At 49.4% G+C, this 13575-nt stretch overlaps 1 protein-coding gene across 19 annotated transcripts in view, besides 2 other annotated features; it reads left to right on the forward strand.

Moving 5' to 3' along the window:
- FER1L5 (fer-1 like family member 5) overlaps positions 1 to 13575 on the forward strand; it is a 62120-nt gene that overhangs the window by 17674 nt on the left and 30871 nt on the right. For 15 of the 19 annotated variants that reach the window (XM_011512110.3, XM_011512122.3, NM_001293083.2 and 12 more), the window contains 9 exons: positions 888 to 1003; positions 1231 to 1354; positions 1778 to 1830; positions 3002 to 3070; positions 8314 to 8357; positions 8449 to 8531; positions 8606 to 8700; positions 9682 to 9810; positions 12640 to 12817. In XM_011512110.3, the coding sequence (XP_011510412.1) occupies positions 888 to 1003; positions 1231 to 1354; positions 1778 to 1830; positions 3002 to 3070; positions 8314 to 8357; positions 8449 to 8531; positions 8606 to 8700; positions 9682 to 9810; positions 12640 to 12817 (891 nt within the window). Of the gene's footprint in view, positions 1 to 887; positions 1004 to 1230; positions 1355 to 1777; positions 1831 to 3001; positions 3071 to 8313; positions 8358 to 8448; positions 8532 to 8605; positions 8701 to 8728; positions 9811 to 11887; positions 12145 to 12639; positions 12818 to 13575 lie in introns of those variants that run through there. The other 4 variants (XM_011512115.3, XM_011512118.3, XM_011512124.3 and 1 more) reach the window with 4 other exon arrangements.
- Positions 626 to 1126: an enhancer, noted in NCBI's record as "H3K27ac hESC enhancer chr2:97326800-97327300 (GRCh37/hg19 assembly coordinates)". NCBI's record gives its function as "activates a minimal SCP1, AML or CMV promoter by ChIP-STARR-seq in naive H9 embryonic stem cells {active_cell/tissue: H9 hESC(naive)}" and the evidence as "EXISTENCE:reporter gene assay evidence [ECO:0000049][PMID:30033119]".
- Positions 1127 to 1627: an enhancer, noted in NCBI's record as "H3K27ac hESC enhancer chr2:97327301-97327801 (GRCh37/hg19 assembly coordinates)". NCBI's record gives its function as "activates a minimal SCP1, AML or CMV promoter by ChIP-STARR-seq in naive H9 embryonic stem cells {active_cell/tissue: H9 hESC(naive)}" and the evidence as "EXISTENCE:reporter gene assay evidence [ECO:0000049][PMID:30033119]".

The following is a 13575-nucleotide window of genomic DNA, read 5'->3' on the forward strand; positions in this document are numbered from 1 at the left end:
TAAAATCCCCATATGTCCAACACATGGGTGGAGGGGAGTATTAGAGATTGTAAATTATTTTCTGTATTTGGTAATATTTCACTGTACATTGTGGTATTTTATTTTACCTTATTTTTTAATTTAATTTTATTTTTTGAGATGGAGTCTCACTCTGTTGCCCAGGCTGGAGTGCAGTGGCTCAATCTTGGCTCACTGCTATCTCTGCCTACTGGCTTCAAGCAATTCTCCTGCTTCAGCCTCCCAAGTAGCTGGGATTACAGGCATGTGCCACCACACCCAGCTAATTTTTTATTTTTAGTAGAGATGGGGTTTCACCATGTTAGCCAGGCTGGTCTCGAACTCTTGACCTCAGGTGATCCACCCGCTTCAGCTTCCCAAAGTGCTGGGATTATAGGCATGAGCCACCACACCTGGCCTATTTTAATTTATAGTAATAGCATTTTTCTCTGAAAAACTCAGGGCATCCCTTTGGGTCAAGTGCTAGCCTTATATTACAATCCTGGGTTAGATTTCTATTTTTTGAGGCCAGTATTGGAAGATTAAAGTTTGAGAGGAAATTTCCACCTTACCTGGCTATAACATACACTAGGTTGAGGAAAATGCTTGCCTCTACAGTGCCTGGTTCCAGACCAGGCCACAGTGAGAACAGTAGGTTCCCAAGGCATAAACAGGGGTCCCTGTTTCCTAGAGGCAACAGCTGGCAGCCTTGTGAGCACGCTATCATTGCTTCGTGGTACGAGTGACTCCCCTTTTCCTCTGCCACTGGATAGAAAGCAGGATGCCTGAGACCTATTTCCACCTTCCCCTCCTGCTAAAACAAAGGCTGGTTTCAGGGGAGAAGGAAGGAGGCTGCAGGCAGATCTCCCATGGCCTTTCTGCCTCTCTAGGTCACACACTCCTAAGGAAATGGCTAGGCCTCTGCCAGCCAAATAACCCTGGCAGTGGTGTGACAGGCTACCTGAAAGTCACCATCTATGCCCTCGGTGTGGGAGACCAGGCCCTGGTGAGCTGCCCCTAACCCCGGAAACTTTCCTATCCTGGCTGCCTCCTGGGGGCACCCCTGGGCCTCACCCTGGATATTGACCATCACATCTCTCCTTTGTCCGCTGCGTCACTGCAGGGTTGTCCCATCCCCCCTGCACCAAGTGGGAAGTTGGAGAAGCAAAGTCTGGTGTCCTTGCCTGTGACCTCCCCATTACCTTGACTATATCAGCTCTCTGGTCTCTCCAGATAGATCAAAAGCTGCTCTATGGCACCGATGACACCGATATTCAGATCTTCAAGTCAGCGGTAGTCCCGATCAACATGGCTTACTTACAGCTCTTCATCTACTGCGCAGAGGACCTTCACCTCAGTTAGAGTCTGGGTGCAGGGGAGGGAGCAGCCCTGAGATTCCCTACACGGTGATACCCTGGATCCTCATGGAGTTTCCTCATTCCTTTTGGCACTAAACTACTGTTTGGGGTAGGGGGGACAGGGTGAGACTGGAATTGCTCCCAGACTTGTCCTGTGGAGGTGCCATGGACACCCTTTCAAACGGGTCTCACACCCCCAGCCTGTCTATGATGGCCAGATGCAAACTCAAGGCTCCCTATGTCCCCCCACCCCATGCCATTGTGTGGAAGAAGAAGGGGCATGGTGGGAACTGGAGACAGGTCTGCCCAGGGGGCACCCCTCTAAATTATAGGGGAGGGTTTTCAGTTGTTCTGTCGCCACCCTATTTCCTCCTCCTGAAAAATGCTGCTGGCTCAGATATCTTTTAACTTGTTGTTCATAGAGAAACACCAGTCAGTGAATCCTCAGTTGGAGGTGGAACTAATTGGGGAAAAGGTAAGTGTAGAAATATTCTGAGACCCAGAGAGATTGGCATCTAGAGAAAGTAGTTTGGAGAGGAGGGTGGCCTGGTGGGCAAGACCACAGGAATCATCTCCCAGTCACCCACTGAGAGAAGTATGCACCCCTGCACCTGGAACTCTGTGCAGGCGGAGGCCACGTCTTATTCTCTGCATGCCAGATGCCCCCCAAAAACCAAATACACGTGGAAGAATGAGTGCGTGAATGAAACATGCCAATGAGTGAACACCATCGAAACTGTCGCCACCCCTCAGTTTCTTCATGTGTAAACGAAGGTTCTGGGCAAGAGAGTTGCTGACATTCCATGAACCTCTATGAATACGGAATAGCATTTTCCAAAGTGTGCTGATGGGTGTCATGGGTAAAAAAGGGTCCTATGTTCAAATTCGGACAATGCTAGGTTACAGTTAAACAGATATTTTCCATATTTGCCAAGCAGAATTTCTACCATATTCTATTTGTTGCAAGCAAGTCGTTAAATCCAGCCCACACATAAGCGGAGAGAAAATAATGTCTATCTTTTGAAGGGAGGAGTACCAAAGAATTTGTGAACATATTTAAAACCACCATACTGAGTATTTCCCAGTGAGTGGTTGGGTACCCCCAAAGCTAGGTGAAACGTTCTCAGGTGGTAAGTGACACGCAGTTCTCAAAAATTTTGATACTTCTGTGTTCATCTTAGTGTACCTTAAAAAGTTTAATAAGGCCAAGTAACACTTGATTCCACAGATACCACTGCTTACACATAAACTCAACTGACGGTTTTAAAACAGGCATGCTGCTGCCATTAGCTGTGTTTTTGCCCATTTTTCTTTTGGGATCTCAGAATTTATCTAGCAAAATATATGTCTATACACTCATATAGTAAGGTCAGTAGCCTTATATCTATTTAAAAATGAAGTCTATTGAAAGCTGACTTAAGGAAAAATATGAGGAATCTGAATCTGGCAAACACCTCGGGTAAGTACACAAAGGACTGGCGCTGTTGCTGCTGAGAAGTTGTGCAGGTGTCTTGAGAGCAGGGATTAGCCCAAGCACCTCTGTGCTGTGGTGTCCACTGGGAGGCTGGACAGGAAGAGCTGGAAGGTGAGGTCAGTGGAGGGAGGAGGGGGCAGGCTGGCACCAACACTGCTTTGGGACATTCCAGCTCAGGACACACATGCAGACCCAAACCGACAACCCGATATGGAACCAGATCCTGACCTTCCGGATTCAGGTATGGCTCCTCCATCATGCCCACCCTTCTCCCACATCCCCTAACATAGAAGGGAAGTTTGGATGATTGTGTGGGGGTGAAGACAGAGGGTGGGGGCCAAAAAGCATGGCAAGGGGGACTCTGCCTGATAGGGAGCATGAGGAAGCCCAGGACATATTATGGAAAACTTTACCTTTTACAGCTTACTGAGTTATCATTGACGTACCTATGTCAATGGTATGTATGACTTGTAGATATTTAAAATGTACAATTTGGCTGGGCACGGTGGCTTACACCTGTAATCCCAGCACTTTCGGAGGCTGACGTGGGCAGATCACTTGAGCTCCAGAGTTTGAGACCAGCCTGGACAACAGTGGCGAAACCAGACTCTACTAAAAAGATAAAAATTAGTCGGGCGTGGTGACATGCGCCTGTAGTTCCAGCTACTCGGGAGGGTGAGGCAGGAGAGTTGCTTGAACCCCGGAGGTGGAAGTTGCAGTGAGCTGAGCCGAGGTAGTATCACCTACTTATTTGAGCAAACACTTCAGCTAAGTAGGTGATAACAACCTGTTGCCCAAGCCAAGCCACTGCACTCCAGCCTGCACAACAGAGGGAGACTCAGTCTCAGGAAAATATAAAAGAAAAAAGAAAAGAGAGAGAGAGAGAGGAAGGAGAGAGGGAGGGAAGGAGGGATGGAAGGGGAGGGAAGGAAGGAAGGAAGAAAGGAAATGTACAATTTGATACATTTTAAAATATGTACACATCCAGGAAACCCATCATACAATCAACATAATGAATATATCTATCACCTCCAAAAGTTGCCTAATGCCTCTTGGGAATCCCTCCCTGTGATTCCTATTCCACCCCCTCCCATCCCCAGGCAACCAACAATCTGCTTTCTGTTACTACGTATTAGCTTGCATTTCCTAGTGTTTCATAGAAATGGAATCGTTCAGTAAGTACCCTTATTTGTCTGACTTCTTTCACTCAGCATAATTATTGTGAAATTCATTCATGCCATTGCTGTGTATCAGTGGTTTATTCCTTTTTGTTGCTAAGTAATATTCCATTGTATGGATGTACCACAGTTTGCTTATCCCTTTCCTTGTTTATGAACATTTCCGGTTTGGGGCTGTTACAATGAAGCTGTAAACACTTGTGTACAACCCTTAGCATAGACATATGCTTTCATTTCTCTTAGGTAAATATGTAGATGCAGAATGACTAGATTCTATGGTAGATGTATTAAGCAATGAGTGGGTCATACAACTGAACTTTCCAGAGAACTTAAATGTGCCCTTTCACCCACATATAAAAACAAAACAAATCCCTTTAAAGACACATTTTAAATGATAATATACATTTTCTTATCTTCTCAGCAACTTTGCCCTGAATATAATTAGAGCTTTTTGTTGATGGCCTGGAGCCATTATGGGAACATAGTTATTATCCTGGGCTATCTGCAGTACCGGGCTACTTGTTCCTGCACTAAATGGCTCTGAGATGCTTTCTTTTTGGGGTTCTGTAGTCTGATTTTGATCGCCTTTCAATCTGTCTCCGTCACCTATCAGCTGTTGTGGATGACAGTTCTCTTGAAGGCGGAGTCTTACTGGCCTTTTGACTCTAAGTCAGGCTTCTAAGAGCAGTGTGTAAAATAAGAACACAGTTCTGAGAGAGAACTTGAGCTGAGAGATAACTTGAGCTCTCTCATAAGTGCAGGCACACAGGAATTTGTGTGACATGGACTTGGCAACCCAGAGAATGTTTTGTTTCCTCATACCTTACATTGTGAAATACAAAATTAGCTAATGCGCTCCCCTTCTCCCTCCTGTGAACTCCCCTCCTTGCTGCTTCTAGTAGCTACCCAGTCTGCCTTCCTGTGAGTCATCACTTTCAACCATTCCTCATAATCCCTGCCTCCTTGGATGATTTTATAGACTCTGAAAGTAGGAAGACATTTCAGAGGAGGCCTAGTCCATCCCCCATCCTTGCCAAGCTCCCTCCCACCTTTTCCGGCCTGTGATGAGGGCACAGGGCTGGGATCCTCAGATGTTCTGTGGCTGTTCAGAGCCTTGGGAAATCTTCTTTTTTCATCTTCTGTTCATCTTCTTTGTTCATCTTTTTTTTTTTTTTCTGAGACAGAGTTTCATTCTTGTCACCCAGGCTGGAGTGCAATGGCGCGATCTCGGCTCACTGCAACTTCTGCCTCCTGGGTTTAAGCTATGAGTAGCTGGGGCTACAGGTGCCTACCACCAAGCCTGGCTAATTTTCATATTTTTAGTAGAGACGAGGTTTCACCATGTTGGCCAGGCTGGTCTCGAACACCTGACCTCAGGTGATCCACCTGCCTTGGCCTCCTACAGTGCTGGGATTACAGGTGTGAGCCACCATGCCCGGCCCTGTTCATCTTCTTACAGGCTCAGAACCAATGGCACAGGCCAGGCCCTCCCTCATCCCTGAGAGAGGCCTTCCAACATTTGAAGATGTTCAAACACCCCTGGAACCTCATCCATTTTCCCCAGAACACAGTCTCCAGGGTGGGGCCCTTTGGATACTGGCCTGATTGCCTTTAGCCCTTTGGAAATGCAGCAGGCAGGTGTGAACCTCTCTCTGAAGAGGCAGAACAGCCAGCCACACAGATGGCAGCATCTGAGGCCAGGTGGTCAGAAGGGGAGCAGAGCCCAGGGCACTGCAGAAAACTGGCCTGTACCAATGGTCAGTCCGAGGGCCCCAGGGCAGAAGGGGAGGCAGCACACTAGATGAGGAACCAAGAAGCAGGAGGAGAATTATTAGCAGGATGGATGGAAAGGTGGTTCCGCCATAAATCTGAACTTGGAGGACTCCTAACTTTGGAAGACCTGGATGCCTTCTGGTGCCGATCTCTCCCCTTCCAATGTCCTTCCTTAACCTGGGCAATTTCCTCCTTTCTTACTGACTAGCTGCTCACCTGGAAAGCCCTTTCCTCTTCTCCTTGGCCCCTTAGCTGTCAGGACCCAGGGAGAATGGGATGAAGAAAATGGAAAGCTGGGAGGTTCCCAGCCACATCCCAAGAACTGCTGTAAGGAGAAGAGGCCCCAGCTGAGAGGATTGAGGATTTGGGGTCCCACTCTGGCCTCAACCCAGCAGCTCTATTTTACACATGGACACATGGATTTTTTTCTTTTATTTATTTATTTTTTTTTTTTAGACAGTCTTGCTCTGTTGCCCAGGCTAGACTGCAGTGACGCAATCTCAGCTCACTGCAACCTCCACCTCCTGGGTTCAAGCAATTCTTGTGCCTCAGCCTCCTGAGTAGCTGGGACTACATGCATGAGCCACCATGCCCAGCTGATTTTTTGTATTTTTGGTAGAGATGGGGGTCTCAATATGTTGTCCAGGCTGGTCTTGAACTCCTGGCCTCAAGTGATCCTCCCACTTCAGCCTCCCAAGTACTGGGATTACAGGCATTAGCCACCGCATCTGGCCTCTTTTCTTTCTTTCTTTTTAAAAATAATTGAGGAAACCATAATGCAGAGTGGAGATGGGACACAGAAGCTTGGGTAGGAATCCTGACTCCACCCCTTACTATGTGACCTTGAGCAAGTCCCTCTGCCTCTCTAGGCCTGATTCCCCATCTCTTTATAGGGACAATCACAGTCCTCAAGGGGTTACAGCAGAGTGGTTTTGGCAACTGCATGTAGCATGAGAACTTCAGGAACTCAACCTCTCTGATCTCAGCTTTCCCATATGAAAATGGGAATAATAATAGCACCTGGTTCATGAGGTTTTTAGGAGAGCCCACTCAGCTGGTCTATGGAATTTGTTTAGCACAAGCCAGGGGCAACAGAAACCTCCTAAAGAGGCAGCTATTATTATTTATTCTTTTTTTTTTTTTTTTTGAGACGGAGTTTCGCTCTTGTTGCCTAGGCTGGAGTGCAATGGCACGATCTCAGCTCACTGCAACCTCCTCTTCCCGGGTTCAAGTGATTCTCCTGCCTCAGCCTCCCGAGTAGCTGGGATTACAGGCATGCGCCACCACACCCGGCTAATTTTGTATTTTTAGTAGAGACAGGGTTTCTCCATGTTGGCCAGGCTGATCTTGAACTCCTGACCTCAGGTGATCTGCCCGCCTCGGCCTCCCAAAGTGCTGGGATTACAGGCATGTGCCACCATGCCTGGTTTATTATTTATTCTTTGAGGAGACAGATATACTGCTGTTTAAAAAGTTGATGGCTAGACATGATGAAGACATTCTAGGCCCACGGCCTCTCCATGAGATGGTTTGGTGAATGTGCATTCAGACTGCGAGGGGCTGTATGAGGACAGTAATATCTACCAGCCCACAGTCAGGGCAGACTCAGGTGTCAGAGGGGCCTGAAGCTTATGCAATTAGGGGACTTTTTTTTCTTTTTTGAAACAAGGTCTCACTCTGTCACCCAGGTTGGAGTGCAGTGGCACGATCATGGTTCACTGTAGCCTCAACCTCACGGGCTCAAGCAATCCTCCCACCTCAGCCTCCTGAGTAGCTGGGACTATAGGTGAGTGCCACCACACCCAGCTAATTTTTGTATTTTTTGTAGAGAGAGGATTTCATCATGTTGCCCAGGCTGCTCAAGTGATCTGCCCGCTTCAGCCCCCCAAAGTGCTGGGATTACAGGTGTGAGCCACCATGCTTGTCCAGAGGGCCATTTTAAAGACAAAAATACAAAACGATCATGTGACAAGTTCCAGGCCCCTCTCAGGACCTTGCAAGGGGCCTATTCAAATGGGAGGCCCAGCTGGGCGAGGTGGCTCACACCTCTAATCCCAACATTTTGAGAGCCCTACGCAGGAGGATTGCTTTTGCCCAGGAGTTCGAGACCAGCTTGGGCAACATAGTAAGGCACCTGTCTCTACAAAAAAAAAAAAATTGTTTTTAATTACCTGGGCCTGATGGCAGGTGCCTGTAGTCCCAGCTACTCAGGAGGCTGAGGCGGGAGGATCGTTTGAGCCTGAGAGGTGTAGGCTGTAGTGAGCTATGATCATGCCACTGCACTCCAGTCTAGGTGACAGAGCAGCACCCTGTCTGAAACAAAACAAAGCAAACCCCCAGAAAACAAGAGGCCCTAAAGCCAAAGCTCGATTCGCTTGGTTCAAAATCCAGCTTTTCTATGATGAAGTGGCTCACTGGTAACTGAGCCAGGACTTGCTCCCAGACCCGCGACTCCCTACCTGTTCTTAAAATCTCCACGAGGGCCAGACCATCCCAATGTGTACCCACCGCACCTCTCTCCTTCCCTCCACAGCTACCCTGCCTCTCCAGCTACATCAAGTTCAGAGTCTTGGACTGGTGAGCAACCTGGTGGAGGCTGAAGCACACAGGGAAGGAAGAAATGAGAGCTGGGCCGGGGGCTCAGCCTGAGGAGTGTGTTTCTCTCTAGCCGCAAGAAGGACTGCCCGGATGAGATTGGGACTGCCAGCCTGTCCCTCAACCAGATCTCGTCCACCGGAGAAGAGATAGAAGGCAAGCAAAGCCTCGAGCCCACTTCCTACACCCCTCGTCCTGCGCCCGACCCTTCTCACTCTCTCTCCTTCCAGGAGTGTACTCCGGCTTCCTGCCCTGCTTTGGCCCCAGCTTCCTGACTCTGCATGGGGGTAAAAAGGCCCCTTTCAGGATCCAGGAAGAAGGCGCTGTAAGCTTCTCACATCAGCTCTAGGGTACAGTGGAGGTAGAGCTTCCCCATGTAAAGCACTAGGGCCTGGGACGTGCCCCGAGGCCCCGGCCCTGGTTTCTGTCCCTCGGGGTCTTGTGGAGGACGTGAAGCCTGTCCATGAGCAGCCACGTGCATGTGGGACAGGCGTGGGGGCACAAGAAAGGAGCAAGCGGAAGCTCTGGGCTTTCCCTGAGGAAGGGGCTTTGAGAGGAGACCATGGTAAGATTTTCAGCAGGTGGGAAGGGCGCGAAGGACGGAGGACACAGCACAGGCAAGTGTGAGGAAGCATGAGGTTATTCAGGAATGGCGGTAAATGCCAGAAACCCGACTCGAACAGGCTTAAACCCAGGGAAAAACAAGAGCCCTGTCCGCCCGGATCTACTGTGGATCCCAGTTTCTGACTGTGCAAAGAGGCCCTGGGAAGGAACGAGGCAGGGAAGGATGCTGAGGAAGAACCACAGGCATTGGTCCTCAAGGCCACTAGGAGGTCCTCACTCTCCTTCCCCCCTGCCTCATTCCCTCCTGCCTCAGTCAGACTTCCCGGCTGGGAACCTCACCACACAGCCTCCAGCAGGGAAGGCCAGGGAAGCATTCTAATTGTCCTCCTTAGGTCATGTGTGCTCCCCGTGGCTCACAGTTGCCAAGGAGGCAGGGCAGGCTCTGATTGGCCAGGCGGGTAGTGCAAACTCAGTGGTAATCACAGTTACCACCCAGCCTGAAGCATGGTGGGAGCACGGTATTCCATGGGGCAGGCAGGATCCCAGGGTGCAGAAGAGGGCTCAATGCCCAGAGGTTTCCCGGCGTGGAGGTTTCTGGAATTCTTCTCCGGGATTGTGGTTGCAGTAAGCCCCGGGCAGGCAGTGACTGGACAACCTTGTCTTTGCCTCAGGGGTTTCAAAGGAGATTGGCCTGTTCTTTTTCTCTCACCCCTTTTCTCCGTTTTCCTCTCGCTTGCCCTAGTGTATTCCCGACTCTGTTAGGGATGGTTTAGCTTATCGAGGCCGAGTCTTCCTGGAGTTAATCACCCAAATCAAGTCCTATCAAGACTCCACGATAAAGGATCTCTCCCATGAAGTGACCAGGATAGAGGTAACTGCGGGAAACAGGTAACCCAGGGAAAAACAAGAGCCCTGTCTGCCCCGGATCTACTGTGGATCCCAGTTTCTGACCGTGTAGAGAGGCCCTGGCCACTGGCTGTTGAGTGTGTAAGGATGCCTGATCAATCGGCCTGATTATTTACTAAGGCCCTGCTAGTGGCTTCATGCTGCACCAAATCCCGGTGGTTGGGGGACCCTGATGGAAAAGATAAGGTTTCAGTTTAAGAAATGCCTAATCTGGGCAAGGTGCGGTGGCTCACGCCTGTAATCCCAGCACTTTGGGAGACCGAGGAGGGAGGATCACTTGAGTCCAGGAGTTTCAGACCAGCCTGGGCAACATGGTGAAACGCTGTCTCTACTAAAAATACAAAAAAAAAAAATGTAGCTGGGCATGGTGGTGCACGCCTGTAGTCCCAGCTACTAGGGAGGCTGAGGCAGGAGAATCACTTGAACCTGGGAGGCGGAGGTTGCAGTGGGCAGAGATTGTGCCACTGCACTCCAGGCTGGGCAACAAAGCAAGACTCCGTCTGAAAAAAATAAAAAATAAAAAATAAAATGCCTAATCTGTGCCGGGCACGATGACTCACACCTGTAATCCCAGCACTTTGGGAGGCTCAGGCGGGCAGATCACTTGGGGTCAGGAGTTTGAGACCAGCCTGGCCAATATGGCGAAACCTCATCTCTACCAAAAAAATACAAAAATTACCCAGGCATGGTGGCTTGCGCCTGTAGTCCCAGCTACTTCGGAGGCTGAGGCAGGAGGATTTCTTGAACCCAGGAGGTGGAGGTTGCAGTGAGCCAGGATCATGCCACTGCACTCCAGCCTGGGTGACAGAGTGAGACTCCATCTCAAAAAAAAAAAAAAAAAAAAAAGGAATCCCTGATATGGTTAAGGAGAAATTGTGTTAATTCGTGACCTAGTTTCTCAGGGCTTTGTAAAACAATCTAAGGGATTTGGGTTTCTTCCTGAAGCCAGTGGAGGGCTACTTACTGAGGCAGGAAGGGGCAGGAGGAGCAGTAGCAATGGACTGGAGGAGAGTAAGTTGGGGTCACCCAGTCAAGAGAAACAGGAATACAGCCTTGCTGGCAGAGAGCTAGAGAGGAGGTGGGTAGGTTTCAGAGACCCTTTGGAAACAGAATGGCCAGAGCCAGTGACCAACAGAACGTAAGTGAGGCTGACTCCCCTTACTGAGGCCCATTTTCTGCCATGGGTGACGAGGTGGTCAGGGGTGCAATGCACCAAGGTGGGCTCTCTAAAGAAGGAGCAGATATGAGGGAAATGATGAAACCCATCTCTGACATGTGATGTAAGACATCCACATAGACCAGCTCTGGAGCCTACTAGACACAGGGATGTGACATCAACACACCAAGGTTTGAACCTGTGGTAGTGGAAGAAATTGCCTGAGGAGAGTAGGTGGAATGAAAGGAGAGGGAAGCTATGAGGATGCCACAGTCTAAGAGGCAGGTGAAAGAGGAGAAGGGATTTGCAGAAGCGGTTGGACAGGAGCCTGCAGAGGCGGACTCAGGAGTGGAGATTTGCAGAAAGGAGTGACCAGCAATCTTGAATGTGGCAGAGAGAAAGGGCGAGGACTGAGAGATATCTGCTGGTTATTAGGAAGATGTCAGTAGCCTTAGGTCAGGAGAGAAGCTGGGCTGCCATAGATGGGAGGGAGAGGTAGGAGCCAGTGCACAGAGACAAACCTTCTAAGAAACCTGATTGAAAAGCTGGGCTTGGGAGGCTGAGATAGGAGGATTACTTGAGCCCCAGGAGTTTGAGACCAGCCTGGGTAACATAGTGAAACCACATCTCTAAAAAAAAAGTAAAAAAATTTTTTTTGAGATGGAGTTTTGCTCTTGTTGCCCAGGCTGGAGTGCAATGGGGCGATCTCAGCTCACCACAACCTCCACCTCCTGGGTTCAAGCAATTCTCTTGCCTCAGCCTCCTGAGTATCTGGGATTATAGGCATCCACCACCACGCCCGGCTAATTTTGTATTTTTAGTAGAGATGGGGTTTCACCACATTGGCCAGGATGGTCTTGATCTCTTGACCTTGTGATCCGCCCGCCTCAGCCTCCCAAACTGCTGGGATTACAGGCATGAGCCACCACGCCTGGCCTCAAAAGTAAATTTTTTTAACGTGAAAGGAAATGAGAACAGGTGGTAGCTAAATAGGGGTTCAGATGGGAGAAGGAAAGTTATTTTTTTTCAATAGGGGAAACCTGAGCTAGTGAACAGACCGGGGGAATGCAAGAATGGGGCAGAGGTTGGCAACAGAAACAAGAGGGGCTGATACAATGGACAGGAGGCCCAAGAAAGCACTTGGTGAGAACAGCCGAAGTTGGGGGCATAGTGGGCAGCTGGAGCAGGAAGTGGGAAGGTTCAACCTTTCTGGGAGTATGAATGTGTGTGTGTGTGTGTGTGTGTGTGTAAAACCTCAGCCCTACACCCCTATCCACATTGTGTCTTCTGGGGGAAAGGGTTTAGGCAAAAAGGAGGAAGCATCTCTACTTGGAATGGGGATGGGGTGGCCCAACTCAGAGCCTACCCTAACAAGGGAGGAGACCACCCCCCTCCCCAGCCACCTGATTTCAGGAAGGGAGGGAGCCAGGGCTGGCTGGGTGGAGGGGCCAGATGATGGAAGTCCTGGAGGAACTGCCCTGGATCAGCAGGGTGCGAGGGAGCCTCTGAAGGCCTTTGAGAGGGAGAGAAGGGAAGATGGCTTTGAAAGAAAGATACCTCATCCTTGCCTCCCTGCCTGTCAATATAACCCTTGGCTTATGTACTGGGTATGGGGGGTGGGGGCGGTTATTGTTTCAGAAGCACCAGAACCGCCAAAAGTATGGGCTGTGCGTCATCTTCCTTTCCTGTACCATGATGCCCAACTTTAAAGAGCTGATCCATTTCGAGGTCAGCATCGGTCACTATGGGAACAAGATGGACCTGAATTACAAGCCTCTAGTCTCAAGCACACCGTACAGCCCAGTGATATATGATGGTAATTGTCAGATTCAGGCAATAAGTAGAGAGCAGCCACTGCATGCCAGGCCCTGTGCTAGGCTCTCTCAGGGGTATTAGCTCATGGAAGATTCATAGGCATTATTTACCTATATTTCACACATGAAAAAATGAGGTTCAGGGAGGTGAAGTCATTTGCCAAACTATAGCTAGCAGGTGGTGAACCCATGAGTTGAAACTAGGTCTTGACATGAAGTCCTTCTCTACACTGCTTTCCACACTACAACTTCACCAACCCCATCTTTTCCCCTACTCTGAACCACCTCTCATCCATCCATCCTCCACCCACCAATTCACGCATCCATCTATTTTTTATCCATCCATTCAGCCACTCAACTCCCACCCACCCACTTACCCCAACATCCAACCAACTACCCCTCCAGCCGTTCATTCACTCATCCAATATATACTTATTGCACACCTATATTGGGCACTATAGAGCAGCGGCTCTCAGAGAGCAAGCCCTGGGCCAGCAGCATCCGCATCACCTGGAAACTTGTTAGAAATGCAGATTCTTGACCCCACGCTAGCCCTAGAGAATCCAATAACCTGGGGAAGAGGCCCCACAGTCTGTGTTTTATCAGGCCCTGCAGGTGACTGGGGTGCATGCTCCAGTTTGAGTACCACTGCTGCAGAGCACTGCTGTCTCACTTTCATCTTTTTCATCTTTACTGTCTCATCACCCATTCTGAGCCTTTCTGGGCATCCCACTTCCCTACCTGTCTTTTAAAAAAGCTT

The sequence above is a fragment of the Homo sapiens genome, chromosome 2, assembly GCF_000001405.40.
Source record: "Homo sapiens chromosome 2, GRCh38.p14 Primary Assembly".
In the NCBI taxonomy this organism is placed as follows: Eukaryota; Metazoa; Chordata; class Mammalia; order Primates; family Hominidae; genus Homo; species Homo sapiens.